The sequence below is a fragment of the Homo sapiens genome, chromosome 15 (genome assembly GCF_000001405.40).
Source record: "Homo sapiens chromosome 15, GRCh38.p14 Primary Assembly".
Lineage (NCBI taxonomy): Eukaryota > Metazoa > Chordata > Mammalia > Primates > Hominidae > Homo > Homo sapiens.
The window spans coordinates 54,987,001-55,009,241 of NC_000015.10; the positions used below are offsets into that span (position 1 = coordinate 54,987,001).

The following is a 22,241-nucleotide window of genomic DNA, read 5'->3' on the forward strand; positions in this document are numbered from 1 at the left end:
AAACTTTCTCTCCAAAATGTATTTCTCTCTGAAACTACAGAAAATACCCTGCGAAACTACTTCTCTAATGGGGAATAAAGAGTTGGCTAGATGAAAATGTTAAAACCTTATGAGAAGCACATAAACTTGGATTTTGCAATAACTAGAAAAGGGGAATTTAGCCAAGTCAAGAATATACATGATCTGGACAGCCATATTCTAAGACTTTCAAAAGAAAAGTAAGATCAAGTCCATTCTCTGATCTCCAGAAAGGAAAATGAAAAATTGGAAGACTTTAAAAATAATTTTTATTATATAGCATCAAATCCTAATCAAATGATAAGAAATGTATTCAAATAAGTGTTGTATGAAATTATTTTCAAATGGGAACAAGTAGTAGCAAAGGCCACATAAAAAGGTACTATAATTGCCTGACAGGTAATTCCTGCACACTGCACAGACAAAAACCAGCTCACTGAGACTGTGGTATTGCAGCAGAGAAAAAGTCTAATTGATGCAAGGCTTGCGACACTGAAGAACTGGAGTTATCGCTCAAATCAGTTATCTCCAAGAACTCAGAGGCTAGGGTTTTTATGAATAATTTGGTGGGCAGTGGGCTAGGGAATGGGTCCTGCTGGTTGATTGGGGATGAAATCACAGGGGTATGGAAAACACTCCTCATGCACTGAGTCTACCTCTGGGTAGGGGCCACAGGACCAGTTGAGCCATGAGTCACAGTTCTGGGTGGGTTCAGTCAGTTTCCAGAATGCAATAATCTGAAAATCATCTCAAAAGACAAATCTTGGGTTCTACAATAGTGATGTTAACTATAGGAGCAATTGGGGAATTCACAAACCTTGTGACCTCTGGCCACATGACCCTTGAATAGCAAGGGATCATAGGAACTATGCATTTTAACAAAATTCAGGCCCCTCCCAAAATCCTAATTTCATGGCCTTTCGCTAGTTTTCGGTCCCCGAGCAAGGAAGGGGTTAGTTTTAGGGACTGATTATTATCATCCTTGCTTCCAAGTTAAACTAAATTCCTCCCATGGTTAGCTTGGCCTCTGCCCAGGAATGAGTGAGGACAGCCAGCCTGTGAGGCTAGAAGCAAGATGGAGTCAGCCATGTGAGATTTCTCTCACTGTCAAAATCTTTGCAAACAAAAGTGGTTTCAGGATCAATGTAGATGCCTAGATGGTCCTCTGCTGAGCTCAGAATTTTTTAAAATGTATAAAAGTTGGAAATAAGATGCATAGGCAATAAGGAAAAGTCTCATAATTAGAAAAAAAACTAGTGCAAGTTTGGCTAAAACCTTATGATAAACTGAGACTTGACGGAAATTAGAACAAAGGACTAAAGAATAAACATAGAAGGGAGGAAAGGAAGCCACATAATGAAATATTTTATACATCAGAGGGAAGACATCAATGAAATAATAAATTCAGCTGAAGCTCATAAATAAGGGAACAAGACTGAAAAGAGTACTGGGTTGGGCTTCTGTGACACTGGTTTTCCACCCCTGACTTTTCCACCTTAATTCCCTGAATTTCAGTTTCCTTCTTTATCCTAAGAGCTCTTTATGTTAGGGAATGTATTTGGATCTGTATGTGGGTAATCCACAGGCAGTATTTGGCCCTTCTCCATCTTCTCAGGACCTCATTTTCTGGGTGGATTCTTTTCTTTTACCATCTTAGCTCCTACATCTATGTTCAACCTTCTTGGGGTCCTCCTACTCTAGAGTGTTTAGGTGTGTAAGGACAAATGCAAATTTAAAATATGGCTTCATTCTCCATGTTGAAAACAAAGGAAGAGATTTTTCTTCCCCTCCTTTTTCTCAGAGCATTTACCATAGAAAGTTTGGAATTGTGAGTTCCTTCTCACCTTTTTGAAATGTATATAAATCTTTTTGAAGACTACATTGGCCTTTTGTCAGCTAGCCTTTTCTTCCCTTAATGACTGAGGAATGTCTTTCTCACAAATTTGGAGGACGACAGGAGATAGCATTCCTATACCCCAATTTCTATTGGAGGGTGGGACCCTAACTTTAGTAGGCTCCTTGTTCCAAGAGGCAAAACTACCTCTTGTCACAAAGAGATAAGTTTGTTTTTTCTCCAGATAAAGTTAATTAGCTAACACAGATGGTCACTCTAATTACCAGGTAAAGTTTGGATAAATTATCTGTGACAAATGGTGTTGTCAACCCCTCTTACTTGAGGACTAGTTATTGTTTATCTTGAAAATATGTATGCAACATCTATATAAAAAAGGGAGATTTCTGTTTTTGCAATCTCTTAGTGGATTGCTTGTGATGTGCATCACATTCTGGCTTAGTGCTTATTCAATCATTTAAAATGTTTTTTTTTTCTCTCTACTACCTTTGGGAAGAAGATTTCTAGGTGGGAAGACTGTTTTTAATATATTTCTCCAATAGGTGCCAACCATTCTTTTCCTGCTAACTCTTTGAAAATTAACATCTATAAATATACTTTGTGGCAGTATTCATAAGACAAATGTATGCTTATTGGGAAAGAGGTAAACTTACAATACACTTAATTTGAGAGGGTTGCTTTATTAAATCTCAACAGTTGACATTTTAAAGCTGCATTTGTTATTGTTGTACTAAAATTTTTAAGAATCGTTTTATGTTTGTGGGTTTGTCTGTTTTTTTGTTTGTTTGTTTTGCTTGATTCCATGTAAGTAAAGATCAGAATTGAACTTGAGTTTCTGCCTTGAAAAAAAGGTTATGATCCACTTAATAATGTTGAAATGGCATCTGGAAATTTTTCCAAATGGAAAAAACAGCACTTTTGGTATTTTTATTGGTATATGATATCTGAATGCTAAATATTTGCAGCCTACATAATGAAAGAATTGTCATGTTCTACTGAAACCATCTGTTTCATTGGAGGTCATTGAAACCATGGAAACCATTTGACAACATATTTTCTCCCACCAGCTGCTACAAATTGATAATAATTGGACTTTGACAGATATTTCCTGATGGAAATTATGTATCTGCCTTAAGAGACAAACAGTGATATTAGTCATTATACTAATTCATGGACAACAGCAAAACAAAGAAGGCCAGGTGGCAATGGATATACAGGAAATAGTGAGGGTTATGGAGGGCTAAGTTCTCTATGGTCAATAACTAATATGTTTTGGGAATACAGAAAGTTTATCAAAATTGTCAGAGATGTCATTGCAATGGTAAGACAGAGAATGTAGACAACATGTGAGTTTCATGTCACAAGCCATCTATAATTGGGAGTGACTGATTAGAGCACTGAGTTGAGGAAGATTCTGAGGCCGTGTCTGTCACAAGTGTAGAGGCAAAGAGTAGCAGCCTATGAGTGATGTATTTGGCTGTTCCTAATCTAAAAGCTCTTTTTGTGACTCATGCCTTGGTTAGACCTATTGACAGAGTATAGGCTGTCCTGGTCTGCAAGACAGAGTCAAGAAATGACTGCAACTGGTTAGATGAGAAGATCTGACAGACTATAGCATGAGGAATGACTGGTAAATTTTGACCAGGGAGGGCGGGGCCAAGATGGCCAACTAGAAGCAGTGGCGGTTGGAGGCTCCTATTGAAAAGATTCAAAACACAGTGCAAATCCTGCACCAGCAACCAAGGTATCCAGATTCTGTCATTAGGACAGACTAGGTGGCTGGCGTGACCCATGGAGAGGAAGGACAAACAGTGTAGTGCAGCGACCTACCTGAGAGCCACAAGGGGCACGGGAGCCCCTACCTCCAGCCAAGGGAGGTGGTGAGTTACCATGCTACCCAGCCTGGAAAACTGTGCCTTTTCCGTGAAACTGTGCAACCCACAGATTGGAAGATCCCACTCGTTAGCCCACACCACTGGGACCTTGGGTCCCAACCACAAAGCTGCACAGATTCTCAACAGCCACTCAACTAGAATTGGCCTAAACTTGCCGTGTTCCCGGGGGGAGGGGCGGCCATCACCACTGCTGCAGCTGCCTGCTGTCTAAGCAGACTGAACTCCTTGGGGGAGGGGCAGCAATCAACACTGGAGGAACTGCAGGAACTCCAACTCCAGCCAAGGGCTCAGGGACAGAACTCTGATCTCCCTGGGTCTGAACCCCTAGCGGGAGGGGAGGCGGTAGTCTCCATGGACCAGCACATTTAGTCTTTCCTCCTGCCAGCTCTGAGGAATCCAGGCAGCCCAGATGAGTGGGCTTCCCCCTAGCACAGCACATCCCCTCCACCAAGGGACAGCCAAAGTGCCTTATTAAACGGGTCCTGCTTGCCATGCCACTCAACTGGGTGAGAACCCCCAACAGGGGTTGTCAGACATACTATATAGGAGTGTTCCTACTGGTATCAGGTTGGTGCCCCCTCGAGGTCAGAGACCCCAGAGGAAGCAGCACGCACCCATCTTTGCTATTCCCCAGCCTCCTTGAGTGACATCTCCAGGCAGGAGAGTGAACCAGGTGAATAGGGCCTGAAGTGAGCCCCCAGAAAACTGCAGCAGCCCTACAGAAGAGGGGCCTAACTTGACTATTGAAAGAAAAACAAACAAACAGAAAGCAACAACAACAGCATCAACAAAATGGTCCCCACAAAAACCTCATCCAACGGTCAGCAGCCTCAAAAGTAGAAAAACACATGAAGATGATAAAGAGTCAACAAAAAAAAATCACTGAAAACCCAAAAGTACAGAGTGGCTCTTCTGCACCAAGTAATCACAACTACAGCAAGGGCACAGAACTGGACAGAGAATGAGATCGATGAAGTGACAGAAGTAGGCTTCAGAAAGTGAGTAATAACAAACTTCACTCAGGTAAAGGAGCATTTTCTGACCCAATGCAAAGAAGCAAAGAACCTTGATAAAAGGTTAGGGGAGCTGCTAACTAGAATAACCAGTTTAGAGAGGAACATAAATGACCTGATGGAGCAGAAAAACACAGCACAAGAACTTTATGAAGCATACACAAGTATCACTAGCCAAATTAACAAAGAAAAAGAAAGAATATCAGAGCTGGAAGACTATCTTGCTGAAATAAGTGAGGCAGATGAGATTAAACAAAAAAGAATAAAAAGGAATGAACGAAACCTCCAAGAAATATGGGACTATGTAAAAAGACCAAACCTACAACTGATTGGAGTAACTGAAAGAGACAAGGAGAATGAAACCAAGTTAGAAAACACACTTCAGGATATTATCCAGGAGAACTTCCGCAACCTAGCAAGACAGGTCAACATTCAAATTTAGGAAATACAGAGAACCCCACTAAGATACTCCATGAGAAGATCAACTCCAAGACACACAATCATCATTTTCTCCAAGGTTAAAATGAAGGAAAAAATGTTAACAGCAGCCAGACAGAAAGGCCAGGTCACCTACTAAGAAAAGCCCATGAGACTAACAGTGGATCACTCTGCAGCAACCCTACAAGCCAGAAGAGAGTGGGGGCCAATATTCGACATTCTTAAAGAAAAGAATTTTCAACCCAGAATTTCATATCCAGTCAAACTAAACTTCATAAGCAAAGGAGAAACAAAATCCTCTTCAGAAAAGCAAATGCTGAGTTACAAGAGCTCTTGAAGGAAGCACTAAATATGGAGAAAAAAAAAGAACCTGTACCAGACATTGCAAAATACATGAAAGTATAAAGACCAATGACACTATGAAGAAACGGCATCAACTACTGTGCAAAATAACCAGCTAGCATCATGATGACAGGACAAATTCACACATAACAATATTAACCTTAAATGTAAATGGGCTAAATGCCACAATTAACAGACACAGACTGTTGAATAAAGAGTCAAGACCCATCAGTGTGCTGTATTCAGGAAACCCATCTCACATGCAAAGATACACATAGGCTCAAAAAAAGAGATGGAGGAAAATTTACCAAGCAAATGGAAAGCAGAAAAAAGCAGGGGTTGCAATACTAGTCTCTGACAAAACAGACTTTAAACCAACGAAGATCAAAAAAGACAAAGAAGGGCATTACATAATGGTAAAGGGATCAATGCAATCAAGAAGAGATAACTATCCTAAATATATATGCACCCAATATAGGAAAACCCAGATTCATAAAACAATTTTTTTTGAGACAGAGTCTTGCTCTGTCACCCAGCCTGGAGTGCAATGACGTGATCTCAGCTCAGTGCAATCTCTGCCTCCCTAGTCCAAGCAATTCTCCTGCCTCAGCCTCCCAAGTAGCTGGGACTACAGGCACCCACCACCATGCCCGGCTAATTTTTTTATATTTTTAGTAGAGATGGGGTTTCACCGTGTTAGCCAGGATGGTCTCAATCTCCTGGCCTCATAAAAAAACAATTTCTTAGAGACCTACAAAGAGACTTAGACTGCCACACAATAATAGTGGGATACTTCAACACCCCACTGTCAATATTATGCAGATCAATGAGACAGAAAATTAACAAGGATATTCAGGACTTGAAATCAGCTCCAGATCAAGCAGACCTAATAGACATCTACAGAACTCTCTACCCCAAATCAACAGAGTATACATTCTTCTCAGTGCCACGTGGCACTTATTCTAAAATCAACCACATAATTGGAAGTAAAACACTCTGCAGCAAATGCAAAAAAACTGAAATCATAACAGTCTCTCAGACCACAGTGCCATCAAATTAGAACCCAACTCAGGATTAAGAAACTCACTCAAAAGCACACAATTTTATGGAAATTGAACAACCTGCTCCTGAATGACTCCTGGGTAAATAATGAAATTAAGGCAGAGATCAAGAATTTCTCTGAAAGCAATGAGAGCAAAGATACATTGTACCGGAATCACTGGGATGCAGCTAAAACAGTGTTAATGGGGAAATTTATAGCAATTAATGCCTACATCAGAAAGCTAGAAAGATCTCAAATCGACACACTAACATCACAATTAAAGGAACTAGAGAAGCAAGAGCAAACAAATCCAAAAGCTAGCAGAAGACAAGAAATAACGAAGATCAAAGTGGAACAGGAGGAGATAGAGACATGAAAAACCCTTCAAAAAAAAATCAATGAATCCAGCAGCTGGGTTTTTGAAAAAAATAAAAAATAAAATAGATAGACCACTAGCTAGACTAATAAAGAAGAAAAGAAAGAAGAATGAAATAGATGCAATAAAAAATGATATAGAAAAATATCACTGCTGACCCCACATTCTCTGATGATAGTTTGTAGAAATAGACTAGAAAATCTAGAAGAAATTGATAAATTCCTGCACACATACACCCTCCCAAAACTAAACCAGGAGGAAGTCAAATCCCTGAATAGACCAATAACAAGTTCTGAAATTGAGGCAGTAATCAATAGCCTACCAACCAAGAAAAGCCCAGGACCAGATGGATTCACAGCTGAATTCTACCAGAGGTACAAAGAGGAGCTGGTAGTTTCCTTCTGAAACTATTTCAAACGGTTGAAAAGGAGGACTCCTCCCTAACTCATTTTATGAGGTATCATCCTGATACTAAAACCTGGCAGACACACACACACACACACACACACACACACACACACACACACACACACACAAATTCAGGTCAATATCCCTGATGAACATTGATGCGAAAATCCTCAATAAAATACTAGCAAACCAAATCCAGCAGCACATCAAAAAGTTTATCCACCACAATCAAGTCAGCTTCCTCCCTGGGATGCAAATGGGTTCAACATACACATATCAATAAACATAATCGGTTACATAAACAGAACCAACAACAAAAACCACATGATTATCTCAATAGATGCAGAAAAGGCCTCCAATAAAATAAAACATCCCTTCATGTTAAAAACTCTCAACAAACTAGGTATTGATGGAACATATCTTAAAATAATAAAATCTATTTATGAAAATCTCACAGCCAATATCATACTGAATGAGCAAAAGCTGGAAGCATTCTCTTTGAAAACCAGCACAAGACAAGGATGCCCTCTCTCACCACTCCTATTCAACATAGTATTGGAAGTTCTGGCCAGGGCAATCAGGCAGGAAATAAAGGGTATTGAGATAGGAAGAGAGGAAGTCAAATTGTCTCTGTTTGCAGATGACATAATCCTATATTTAGAAAACCCCATCATCTCAGCCCAAAATCTCTGTAAGCTGATAAGCAACTTCAGCAAAGTCTGAGGATACAAAATCAATGTGCAAGCACATGTGTTCCTATACACCAACAACAGACAAGCAGAGAGCCAAATCATGAATGAACTCTCATTCACAACTGCTACAAAGAGAATAAAATACCTAGGAATACAGCTAATAAGGTATGTGAAGGACCTCTTCAAGAAGAACTACAAACCACTGCTCAAGGACATAAGAGAGTAAGAGAGTACACAAACAAATGGAAAAAAATTCCATCCTCATGGATAGGAAGAATCAGTATCATGAAAATGGCCATACTGCCCAAAGTAAGTAATTTATAGATTCATTGCTATTCCCATCAAACTACCATTGACATTCTTCAAGAATTAGAAAAAACTACTTTAAAATTCACATGGAACTAAAAAACAGGCCACATAGCCAAGACAATCCTAAGCAAAAGAACAAAGCTGGAGGCATTACACTACATGACTCCAAACTATACTACAAGGCTACAGTAAACAAAACAGCATGATACTGGTCCAAGAACAGACATATAGACCAAGGGAATAGAATAGAGACCTCAGAAATAAGACCACACATCTAAAGTCATCTGTTCTTCAACAAACCTGACAAAAACAAGCAATGGGGAAAGGATTCCCTATTTAATAAATGGTGCTGGGAAAACTGGCTAGCCATATGCAGAAAACAGAAACTGGACCCCTTCCTTATATCTTATACAAAAATTAACTCAACATGGATTAAAGATTTAAATGTAAGACCTAAAACCATAAAAGCCCTAGAAGAAAACCTAGGCAATACCATTCAGGACATAGGCATGAGCAAAGACTTCATGACAAAAATGCCAAAAGCAACTGCAACAAAAGCTAAAATTGACAAATGGGATCTAATTAATCTAAAGAGCTTCTGCACAGCAAAAGAAACTATCATCAGAGTGAACAGGCAATCTATAGAATGGGAGAAAAGTTTTGCAATCTACCCATCTGACAAAGGTCTAATATCCAGACTTTACAAGGAACTTAAACAAATATACAAGAAAAAAACAACCCCATCCAAAAGTGGGCAAAGTATATAAACAGACACTTCTCAAAAGATGACATTTATACAGCCAACAAACATATTTTAAAAAGCTCAACATCACTGATCATTAGAAAAATGCAAATCAAAACAACAATGAGATACCATCTCAGGCCAGTCAGAATGGCAATTATTAAAAAGTCAAGAAACAACAGATCCTGGCAAGGCTGTGGAGAAACAGGAATGCTTTTATGTTGTTGGTGGGAATGTAAATTAGTTCAAACATTGTGAAAGACAGTGTGGCGACTCCTCAAGGATCTAGAACCAGAAATATCATTTGACCCAGCAATCCCATTACTGGGTATATACCCAAAGCAATATAAGTCATTCTACTATAAAGATACATGCACATATGTGTTTACTGCAGCACTTTTCACAATAGCAAAGACATGGACCCAACCCAAATGCCCATCAATGATAGACTGGAGAAAGAAAATATGGCACATATACACCATGGAATACTATGCAGCCACAAAAAGGAATGAGATCATGTCCTTTGCAGGGACATGGATGAAGCTGGAAGCCATCATCCTCAGCAAACGAACACAGGAAAAGAAAACCAAATACCACATCTTCTCACTCATAAGTGGGAGTTTAACAATGACAACACATGGACACAGGGACGGGAACATCACACACTGGGGCCTGTCAGGAGTGGGGGTGATGATGGGAGGGAAAGCATCAGGACTAACAGCTAATGCATGTGGGGCTAAAAGCCTAGGTGACAGGTTGATAGGTGCAGCAAACCACCATGGCACACATAAACCTATGTAACAAACCTGCATGTTCTGCACATGTATTCTGGAACTTAAGGTAAAAAAATAAAAATAATAATACATAAATAAATAAAAATTAAAAAATAAAATTTTGACCATAAGAACCTAACTCACACAAAGTCACAAATTGGGAAAATTGAGAAGGTGAAATCTGTTCAACAGTTCTCCAAATTTAGGAGTTGAAGCACTTGGCTAAGAAAAAAAAATACATATAATCCAACTAACATTTAAAAAAGAAAAGGCGGGGGGAAAAAAGCAAAGGAGAGTACTCATTTAGGGCCATAATAACCATCTAGGACATTTTTAAGAGAGTCATATCTCTTCTTGCTGGTTGGTTTTTAGTTTTTCCTTCAAACCACAGCTTCCTATATTGATAAAATTCTGGACCTGGAAGGTATCTTGGATACTATAAAATACAACTTCCTCATTTTCCTAAAAAGGAAAGAAGGTGACACCCAGAAAGGTAAATTGTTTAAGATCACACAGCTTCTAAATGGCAGTGCCAGGACTAAAAGCCCTAAGACCAAAATAGTTCAGTTTTCTTTTTAGCTCACTATTTTGTGAGACTGACCCTCCTTGCCTTAATCTGGAGTTCCTGTCTTATGCAAACCTTCACCTCACACAAGGGCGTAACCAGGGCCCTGCATCTAGACCTGGAGGCATCTTTTAAGTAGACAGAGCTGAGCATAAACACCAACCTGGCTGAACTTCAAGGGCTTCTTCCATGATTCTTATAAGAATTAGGTACCTGCCATCCCTCCAGGTGCTCTTTGTAGATAACCAAAGTCTCACCAGAAGGTTGGGTTAGGCTTCCAATCTAGGAAAAGACTCCATCCCAAACCTACCATGTGACACCACACCCCAAAACAATAGGTGCCCCTCAAGAAATTTCCCCATTCCTTGAGGCCTGGAGTTCACCAGTTCCTCTATTATAATCTCCCATGAGTCCTCATCTCCTGTTCCTGAATGTTCCTGGACATAGACAGAGAAAATATGACTTGTTGATTGAGTTTTCTTTTCACTTTTAATGAGGCTGACTAAATTAAACACTTAGGACTTGGCACCCAAGTTTTAAGTCAAGACCTATGAAATGAAGCTCAGTGGTCAACACTGGAAACCCAATAGAGCCTTACCCCTTCTCCAAAACTGAGGAGAATGCTTTAACACACAGTTTCACAAACTCCTCTTAGACCAATCATAGCTTCTTAGCAAGCTGAGGACTCGTGGGACTTTGTGCTGTAGCACTCATTTCTACACATTAGGAGGAGACAACTCTAGAACATACCATTCCTCTTTTGGTCATGATCTGGGGTCAACCTGAGAGAGACCACTTAATAAATCTTCTCATGCTTTCTTTACATTTGTAAAATATTCTCCCCCAAGTATATCTAAAACACAATGCTATAGACCTATTATCACATTGTCCAGATATAGAATATTCCAGAGCACAAACCTGAAAATGTTGGCTAAAACATTTTACTACTACTCCTTAGTTTATGTTGGCCACTAAGACACCATGTGATTTTAGTGTATACAAAGACACCAACACCCACATAAATAATATCAGTAATGGGAACTCTCCTGGAAGGTGAACACTTTTAATATCTCATGGCGCACCGTGCCAGACAACAAAGTTTCCTCCACCTATATTTGGACCTTCTCAGGATATGTAATATTCTCTTGGAGTCCCCACAGAAGCACACTTGCAGTATGATATTCTCTAGGATACAACAAGCGGAGACCCTGGGTCCTTTCTACCAGGCTTCAGCATTACAGTGCCAGAACATCTTATCTTCCTAAGTTCACCCCAGCAAGAGAGCATCAGAGAGAACAAGCAGCTGTAGGAGTGCAGTAAAGAATTACAAGCAAACAGCTCTTCTACAGCTGCTAAGAGCCAGGGGGCTGATAAACTCTTTGATCTTTCTCTCATCTTTTAAAGATGCTTTGAAATCAAGAGACCAGGATATATCCTAGAGATCAGGACAGCAGGAAAACTTTTTCTCTTGCCCTTGCAGCCCATTAATAGAAGCCCAGACATCTTACCCCAAAACTGCAGGTTATATTGAGAGACATAAATGGCCATTAACTTTTTGAGCAGCTTGTTAGGAAGAGGGCCCCAGGACCATTCTCTAAAGGTCTGCAAGTCTTGAGAAGCAGAAAAGAAAGATTACCTAAAGTCTGCACCATGAGAAAGCAGCCACAACAGGAATTACATCAAAGGTGTGGATGACAAGAGCCATTTACAGGCTGACAACTTAAAGTCCCAACAGCAGGAGAAGAGGAAAGAGAGCGAGAGAGAGAGAGAGAGAGAGACCCTGCCCCAAGTAAAGATAGAGCAGGCAAGAAACTGCCCAAAAGAAAAGAACACATCAAGAATGAGTTCTGCAAGGAGGTCAGCAAAGCCACAGACAAAAAGACATTACAGAGGGATGCTATAAACTCCTGGCAAGACCCACAGGAAGATGACAGAAGAGTAGACATAAAGGCAGCTAGACTGATGCTGGCCTGGCCTTGACTGACCCAAGCACTTTATCAACTCTCGGTATAAGAAACGCTGTTGGTAACAACTAAATTCACCTTTATATAACATGTTCAAAGTAAGGTATATTCACTGAAATAATATTTAATTGTTTGACTGAATTTATTACTCACACTTTTCTCCCTAAAGAATAGGTATTTGGTATGCCTGGTGCCCCGTGGCTGATGGAAACCCACAGCTGTAGTCGCAACAGCTCACACCAGTATAACTAGATCCATCAAGTGGAGAGTCAACAGCACATTACAGGGAACACCGGAATGCAGAGAACTTATCTGCTTCAGTCAGGCCTGATTGGTGGAGTCATAGATTGTTGTCAGTTTTGCTGTAATCTTTTCTTTCCTCTAAATCAGAGGTTGGCAAACTCTGGTGGCATCTGGGTCAAATTCAGCCAACTGCCTGATTTTTTAAATAAAGCTTTATTGATACACAGCCACGCCCCTTCATCTACATATTATCTGTGGCCGCTCTCTCACTATAATGACAAACACTAGTATACTTTCCCCACTGTTTCCATCCTTTCTCCTTCTTGTCCTTTCTCTTTCCCTTTTTGGAGGTATTATCCAGCCATAATCAACTCCAGAAAGTGTCTGGATCCCCATCTAAACACACAGTCTGGAACTCAGCTGCCACCAGTGGTTTGTTCTAATTTTGTTTTGGAGTGGGGGTAAATTTTGTTGTTGATTTGATCTCATTGGATTTATTAAATTAAAAACATTGCTTTTGGTAGCAAGTCAAATACTATTGAGGTATCTAAAGAAAGAGTTAAGAATCTCTCCTTTCCCTCCATTCTACTTCTCGAAGTACAAAATGTTAATATTTATTCCTTCCACACTTTCTGCTAGAGGTGGCTTTTTAAAAAATATTTATTATCACAGTAAGATTGAGAGAAGAAAATACTTAATATTTAATATATAGAGCACATTAATCCACTCAATAAATATTTTTGAAAACCTCTATGTTTCACGCACTATGCTAAGTGCTGAAGAACCAACTTAAAATTCTCTAGGATAGATACCTAAATATCAAATAATATCAGCTGTTTCTTTTTATAAAATAAAGAGCCCCACTGTGCTTAATAAAATGATGATGGTTTGCACACACCAGCTAGCCAAACCAAGGATAGGTGGCGTTAGACACAGGAGGACTAACAGGTAGCTGAAAGTAATCAATTTTCCGGATCTAGAAAGACAATCAACTAAAAAGCCAGAGTATAAAAAGAATGAAACCATAGGTGTATTAGAACATTATTGCATTGCTATAAATAAATACCTAAGACTGGGTAATTTACGAAGAAAAGAGGGTTAATTGGCTGAGGGTTAATTGGCTCACTTTTCTGCAAGCCGTGCAGGAAGCATAGTGCTGGAATCCACTTCTGGGGAGACCCTATTAAGCTTTTACTCATGGCAGAAGTCAAGAGGGAGCAGGCAAGTCACATGGCAACAACAGGAGCAAGGAGTTGGAGGGAGAAATGCCACACATTTTTAAACCACCAGATCTGGTGTGAACTCAGAGTGAGAGCTCACTTATCATGAAGGGATGGCTTAAGCCATTCATAAGGGATCCGCCCCTGTGATCCAAACACCTCCCACTAGGCCTCACCTCCAACACCAAGGATTACATTTCAACATGAGATTTGTGTGGGGGAAAATATCCAAACTATATCATTCTGACCCAGCCCCTCCCAAAGCTCATGTTCTTCTCACATTTCAAAATACAACAATGCCTTCCCAATATTCCCCCAATGTCTTAACTTGTTGCAGCACTAACTCAAAATCCAAAGTCTAAAGTCTCATCTGAGACAAACCAAATCCCTTCCACCTATGAGCCTGTAAAATCAAAAACAAGTTAATTACTTCCAAGTTACAATGGGGATATAGAAATTGGGCAAACAGTCCGATTCCAAAAGGGAGAAATTGGCCAAAAGAAAGAAGCTACAAGCCCCCATGCAAGTTCAAAGCCCAGCAGGGCAGTCATTAAATCTTAAATCTCCAAAATAATCTCCTTTGATTCCATGTCCCACAGGTAGAGCATATTGGTACAAGGGGTGGTCTCCCAATATCTACTCCTGTGTCAGCTCCTGAGGCTGTTCTTACAGGTTATTGAATATCTGTGGCTTTTCCAGATATAGGTGCAAGCTGTCAGTGCATCTAACATCCTTGGGCCTGGAGGGCAGTGACCTCCTTCTTATACTCCACTAGGCAGTGACCCAGAGGTGACTCTGTATAGAAGTCCCAATTCCACATTTCTCCTTGGCACTCTCCAAGTAGAGGTTCTCTGTGGGGGACTCCACCTCTGTTGCAGGCTTCTGCCTGGGCACCCAGGCTTTTCCACACATTCTTTGAAATCCAGGCAGAGGCTGCCAAACATTCTTTACTCATGCATTCTGCAAATGACACGCTTACCACCACATGGAAGCTGCCAAGGCTTATGGCTTGCACCCTGTGGAGGTATGGCCTAAGCTGTACCTGAGACCCTTTGAGCCATGGCTGGAGCTGGAGCAGCCAGAATGTGGGGAGCAGTGTCCCAAGGCTGCAAAAGGCAGCCAAAGCTTCACAAGGCAGGTGTATTAGTCCGTTTTCATACTGTTATGAAGAAATACCCAAGACTGGGTAATTTATAAAGAAAAAGAGGTTTAATGGACTCACAGTTCCACATGGCTAGGGAGGCCTCACAATCATGGCAGAAGGTGAAAGAGGAGCAAAGGCAACACACGTCTTACATGGCAGCAGGCAATAGTGCATGTTCAGGGGAACTGCTCTTTATAAAACCATTAGATCTCTTGAGACTTATTCACTATCATGAGAACGGCATGCAAAAAACCTGCCCCCATAACTCAATTACCTCTCATTGAGTCCCTCCCACAACATGTGGGAATTATGGGAGCTACAATTCAGGATAAGATTTGGGTGGGGACATAGCCAAATCGTATGATTCTGCTCCTGCCCCTCCCAAACTCATGTCCTCTTATCCCAAAACTAATCATGCCTTGCCATCAGTCTCCCAAAGTCTTAATTCATTTCAGCATTAACTCAGAAGTCCAGTCCAAAGTCTCATCTAAAGCAAGGCAAGTTTCTTCTGCCTATGAGCCTGTAAAATCAAAAGCAAGTTAGTGACTTCCTACATAAAACAGAATTACAGGCATCGGGTAAACATACCCATTCCAAATGAAAGAAATTGGCCAAAATGAAGGAGCTAAAGGCCCCATGCAAGTCTGAAATCCAGTGGGACAGTCAAATTTTAAAGCTCCAAAATTACCTCCTTTGACTCCACGTTTTATATCCAGGTCACCCTGATGTAATAGGTGGGTTCCTATAGTCTTGGACAGTTCCACCCCTGTCTGTGGCTTTGCAGGAGACAGCCCCCCTCCCAGCATCTTTTACAGGCTGGTGTTGAGTGTCTGTGGCTTTTCTAGGCACACAGTGCAAGCTGTTGGTGGAGCTACCATTCTGGGGTCTGGAGGACAATGGCCCTCTTCTCACAGCTCCACTGGGCAGTGACCCAGTGGGGACTCTGTATGGGGGCTCTGACCCCACATTTCCCTTCTGCACTGCCCTAGAAGAGGTTCTCCATGAGGGCTTTGCCCCTGCAGCACACCTCTGCCTGGACATTCAAGCATTTCCATACATCCTCTGAAATCTAGGTAGAGGTTCCCAAACCTTAATTCTTGACTTCTGTGCACCTGCAGGTCCAACCAGTATCAGAAGAAGATTATTGGATAATGTTGGATATGTCCTCCTCAAAGATACATTAAAGCCCTAACACTTAGTACCTGAGAATATGAACTTATTTAGAAATAAGGTCTTTCAGATGCAATCAGGTTAAAATAAGCCATACTCAATTAGGTTGCACCCTAATCAGATATGACTAATGTCCTTACAAGAAGAAAAAACAGATAGACAGAGACATGGAGAAGAAGCTCATGTGAATACAGAGGCAGAGACTGGAGTAATGCATTCAAGCCAAGAAATACCAAGAATTGCCACACCAGAAACTAAGAGAAAGTCATGGAACAGAATCTCCCCTAAAGCCTTCGGAGAAAGCATGGACCTGCCAATACCTTGATTTTGGACTTCTAGCTTCCCCAACTGTGAAAGAAAAAAAATTCTGTTGTTTTAAGCCACTCAGTTTGTGGTAATTTCTTATGGCAGCCTTACAAAACTCATACAGTCTGTTCAGGATCTGTAAAGAATTAGCTCAAACTGTTTTTACCACACTGATCCCAGCACTCTTCTCCCACCTTGGGGGTATAAAAATGTTAAAATTGAAAACTGCAGGCCTTGTTTAATGTGCTCTGAGACTCACCCTCACCTCCCATCACTCAGAGTCTGATGAATGAATCAATGCAGAATGAGTCTATCTTCACTCCCTAGGTGACATGTAATCTCTTACCTGCTACCCTCATAACCAGCCCAAAACCCACAAAACTAGACTCACAGGATATTGGATCAAAATGTCTAGAAGTTAAAATTTCCAGGAAGGGATCCTCTTATTCAAGAGTCCTGAAAACATTTCCCTCAAGTACAAGAAAAGGATGTGGCTGATAAAGCTCCTAGGAGGAGCGTCAGCCACTCAGGAAAATGAGATTGTCAAGCAGCACTGCTGTAGCCAGATGCAGTGTTCAGAGGATCACAGAAGGAAAGTGGACCCAACTGGCCTCTCTCCAACCCCTGCACGTATCATCATTCACACCAGGCTGTACTGGAGTGTTTCAGAGCACAAAGACCCTTTAATTCTGAAAGAGAATTTAGCCATGGATTCTGAGGACTACGATAACAGAGACCTTGAGAACAAAGCACAAGCAGAAGCACACACAGAAAGCGGGGGGGAGGGTGACAAAGGAGAGAAGCCTGCTGATCCCTGAAAGCAACTCTGCTGCCTTAATTAGCTGCCCTTACTCAGGAGCCACCTACTTCACACACAGATGTTTAGTGGTACTTCAAATCTCTCAGATCCTCTGTGTGGGTGTGCGAATTGTGGTGTGTGGTGTGTGGAATGGCGTGGTGTATGGATGGTGCAGTATGTGTGTGTGGTTTGTGTGTGCATGAGTGTGGTAAGTGGAATGGTTCAGTGTGTATCTGGGGTGTGTGCTTGGGGAAGGCAGTGTATGGGGAAAAAGGGTTTGTGACTGAATGCCTGCTTTCAGGATTTCCTAGGTTCAGGTGGAGCAAAACCAGCCTGGGTATGTAGCTGCCGCATCAGCAGTGACTTGGAGCTGATCCACTGTCTGGTCTATTTTTAACAATGATGCACCATGACTTCGCACTCTTCCTTAATATAACTGACGGCAGCAGGATCCCATTGGGAAAGCAACTACAGCTAAGGCCTCTGCTTTCCTGATCACACAATCTCATAGTCCTTCAGAACAAATTATGAAGCATTTCTAGATCCTTGAGACATTTGAAACACTGCACACAACTTTCCAGAATTTGAGATGCAAAACAAAAAATTATTCAATATATCAACACTAACACTAACTCTATATGAGAACTTTTAACCACTCCCTCTAGTCACCATAAAATCTAGAATAAGTAAACAAATGCCAACGTAGTGCAAAATCATAATTAGTGTTTGCCTGAATCAATAAAAAAATGAAAATAGTACTGCAGTTGGTATGAATTTATTATCTTCTAGGCCCATTTTAAGACTATAGGACAGGTAGCTATTAAATAATGCAAATTATATAATTATATAATAGCTACTATATAATAGCTATAATATTATATTATATATTATTATATTATATTTATTATATAATATAATTATATAATATATAATAAAAATATATTATATAATATAAATTTTATTATATAATAGCTATTATGTAATTATATATTATACATATTTATATTATATCATATATAATATATAATTATATAATAGCTATTATATAATAGTTATAATTAGATAATTTAATGTCCTTTTATAAAAGGATGCTATATCACAGATATTATAAGAATTCATACTAAGATTAATAAAAGATAATAGTTGCCCTAGCAACCCTAGCTATTTCCTCTTCAGAAATGTAAGAAAACATTACAGACAAGTTTAGAAACTCCAGAATGTCAAATCTGACCCAAAAAAGTGAGTCTGTAATTCAATTAAATGATGAAAAGCAATTCAATGAAAAATTAGAAAATATCTATGAGAATCATGGATTAATCATGGAAACCTACAGAGACCTAGAGCTTGAACCTGCCATTTTACAGACATGGAAACAAATTGCCTGAGAAGTTTAATGACTTGCCCAAGATCACATCCTACCTGGCATCTCTTTAATTAATGTAAATCTCCTGACTTCTTAACCCCTATTTTTTATACTTTGTGAACTATCTTGGCACTCTATGACTGTCTCTATGCTAGGTGCTATAGATACCACAAAAATGAATGAAACCCAATGATGGTCAACCACAAGTTTAGTAGACTTCTCTTGCTACTATAGCCATTCTTAAAGAAACTACTCTGAGTTCAGACCTCCCTATTCCCCAGGAAGAATTGAAGTCAGCTCACCAGAATCTTCAAACTTTAGAAACAGTTGCACCAGTAGAACAAGATGGTGGCCACCTCCTGTTCCTAAGAGTACTTTTTTCTGGACCCTCTCACTCAAGGCCTAACCAATGAACTGGGATGCCCTGACAGTGCCAGCTAAGAGAGGAAGTTGACTCTGGGTGAAGGCAGGCCAAGTCTATAAATGACAGGTAAGAAGGAGAATAACTTGAATAGTACATAGTCCCTGCCTTTAGAGATCTGAATTAAATAACTAGTTAAACATAATAGGTACTACACCAGAAGTAGGTAATAAGCCCAAACCTGAGATTTTTTTTTAATCCAGTGAGTCTACCACTGAGGAATAGGAGAGAAGGAGAGAGATGTCAGGACTCATACAGGCCCCTTCTAGAAAACGTTCTTAGTTCATTGTCCGTCTCTCCCAGTCAAACCATTGGTAACTCAAAAGGCCACAGTGTTTATTTAACATTTCTTGTGCCAACTCATGAAATGTCATCATGCTCACTGATAAGACTTTCCAGTCTCTCCCCTGCAGACTGGGTCCATGTCAGCACTTGAGTCCATACCAGCATTAGGAATGGTATTCAGTGGCAGATCCTCGGTATCCTCTGCCGGACCCATGCCTGGTTTTCTAGCAAGGAGTAGGTTATCCGAGCTGCCTTTGTCACAGTATGTCAAGGGGAAACCAGAGGCCACTTAATTCTGGCTCCGTAACCCAGACACAAAATGTTCACCTAAACTAGGATTAGAAATCTGGGGAAAACATGTTTGTGCTACCAAAACTCATACGAGTCATATTCACACAAATGAGAGAAGCTAGCCAAGCTTACCAGGATTGTCAGACTCTGGGTCATTGAAGAAATTTATAATGTGCTAGGAATGGAAAAAACATAAGTCATCTTCCACTCAATGTTTTGGCCTAGAGAACTCCCAGATCTCTCTGCATCCATTTACACTTTAGGTTTCCTGGTAGTTTTATTTTAAAATCTGCCACTAGAAAAGAAAATTCTTGAAAATAATTTATTTATTGTAAATCTTTCATTTTACCCTTGGGAAACTGGAGGTCCCAGGCCGGGCGCAGTGGCTCACGCCTGTAATCCCAGCACTTTGGGAGGCTGAGGCGGGTGGATCACAAGGTCAGGAGATCGAGACCATCCTGGCTAACACAGTGAAACCCCCGTCTCTACTAAAAATACAAAAAATTAGCCGGGCGAGGTAGCGGGCGCCTGTAGTCCCAGCTACTCGGGAGGCTGAGGCAGGAGAATGGCGTGAACCCCGCGGGGCGGAGCCTGCAGTGAGCCGAGATCGCGCCACAGCACTCCAGCCTGGGCGACAGGGAGACTCCGTCTCAAAAAAAAAAAAAAAGAAACTGGAGGTCCCACACATGAAGGGGCTTGCTCAAGGTCACTCTAATACTGAAGATGGGCAGGATTCTGTCATAATAAAAAGAACTGCAAATATCCCAGTGGCTTCACACAGCAAAGATTTATTTCTTTCTCACACTACATGCCCCAAACATCTCTTCAAAATCCATCAGGGACCCAGACTTGATAGAGGCTCCATCTTAACATGTGCTTGCAGGGTTGCCACAACAAGGAAAAGGAAAGCTGACATCAGGCACTTTAGGGTTGATATCTCTATCCATAAGTGACACATGTGTCTTCCACTCACATTTCAGTAGCCAAAGGAAGTAGCACAGCCACGCCTGACTTCCCGTGGCTAGAGAGGTGCAATCCTGGTACCTAGCCAAGAGGAAGAGCGTAGCAGTGTTTGTGGACAGCACTGATGACAACCAGAGTCACATGGTTAGTGAAGGGCAAAGCCAACAATAGAACTCTAGCTTCCCAATTCCTTGTCGAAGTGTTTCTCTACTTCCCTGTCTTGGAAAGCCTAGATCAAGTTCCACCATCCTCACAAAGCTATCTCTGACTATGCTAACCAATGAAGTCTCATTGGTGTGAATATGACTCGTATGAGTTTTGGTATCACAAACCTGTTCTCCCCAGATTTCTACTCCTAGGTTAGGTGAACATTGTGAGTCTGGGTTACGGAGCTAGAATTAAGTGGCCTATGGTTTCCCCTTGACATACTGTGACAAAGGCAGCTCAGATAACCTACTCCTTGCTAGAAAACCAGGCATGGGTCCGGCAGAGGATACCGAGGATCTGCCACTGAATACCATTCCTACTGCTGGTATGGACTCATGTGCTGATATCGATGATATTTATTCTCATCTATCTGAATACCTTAGTAACTGTCCACAAATAAAACATAATTGTGCACTGAACACACACACACAAATCCATGTGCAGTTTTTAGGAGGACTCTTCATTGATTATGGATCCCACAGTCTCAAAAATCAGTGCTAGAAAGAGAAAGACCCTCCTCTCGTGGGCTCATGAGAACACAAAACAGGGAGAATTTAAATGAAAAGGCATAGCCCCAAGAGTAAAAGGAGGCAGTACAGACAGCCATGGAAAGCATTTTGACTCTCTGAAGCAATATTTACTAGGCTGGATGTTAATTAGTCTCTTGTTTTGTTTTGTTGTACAATCAGCATTTATTCCCTTCCCTCCTCTGCTCTCCCCTGTATCACACAGGGGCAGGATGCCTAGAACTATACTTCTCAGATTCTCTCGCCTGCAGAGGGTTGCGTGTGATTTACATTCTGTCAGCGGGATGCATTCGCATAAGGTTTGAAAAGAGGAAAGGAAACAGAGGACATTTTCTTCTTCCTCCAGCAGTGGCAACAGATAAATGAACTTTGCACAAATGAGTTTTTTTGACAGCCTCTGCTTTCCCCTGCCATTCAGTCATCACAGGATGTGAAAAAAACTGTGAAGTCAGCAGCAATTTTCTGCAGGTTCCTGACCCTTAGGTGACAGCACTCTGACTCTGGACCACCAGAGTGCGGCAAAATTGAAAATTGATGGCTGATCCCCTGACTTTCACTCTTACAGGCTTTGCAATGGCTTGTAAGCACCAAAATCCCTGAATCAAATTATATAAAATTTCTGTTTTCCTGACTGAACCATGACTGATACAACTTATCCCCTTTAATCATTTACTTCTAATTATAATGGTAATAGATGAAGTATAAGAAATAAATTTAAATCAACTATGACACCCACTCAGATATTACCCAGCTATTGATATATTTCATCCCACTTTCTTTTCTATACAACACTATTCCAGCCCTAATTCACTTCAACATACACATAGGATAATTTGACACCCTAGAGCTCCTCTCCTACAATTACTTTGTTCT

General features: G+C 40.7%; 2 annotated features.

Moving 5' to 3' along the window:
• Positions 3,371-3,882: an enhancer, noted in NCBI's record as "H3K27ac-H3K4me1 hESC enhancer chr15:55282569-55283080 (GRCh37/hg19 assembly coordinates)". NCBI's record gives its function as "activates a minimal SCP1, AML or CMV promoter by ChIP-STARR-seq in naive H9 embryonic stem cells {active_cell/tissue: H9 hESC(naive)}" and the evidence as "EXISTENCE:reporter gene assay evidence [ECO:0000049][PMID:30033119]".
• Positions 3,883-4,394: an enhancer, noted in NCBI's record as "H3K27ac-H3K4me1 hESC enhancer chr15:55283081-55283592 (GRCh37/hg19 assembly coordinates)". NCBI's record gives its function as "activates a minimal SCP1, AML or CMV promoter by ChIP-STARR-seq in naive H9 embryonic stem cells {active_cell/tissue: H9 hESC(naive)}" and the evidence as "EXISTENCE:reporter gene assay evidence [ECO:0000049][PMID:30033119]".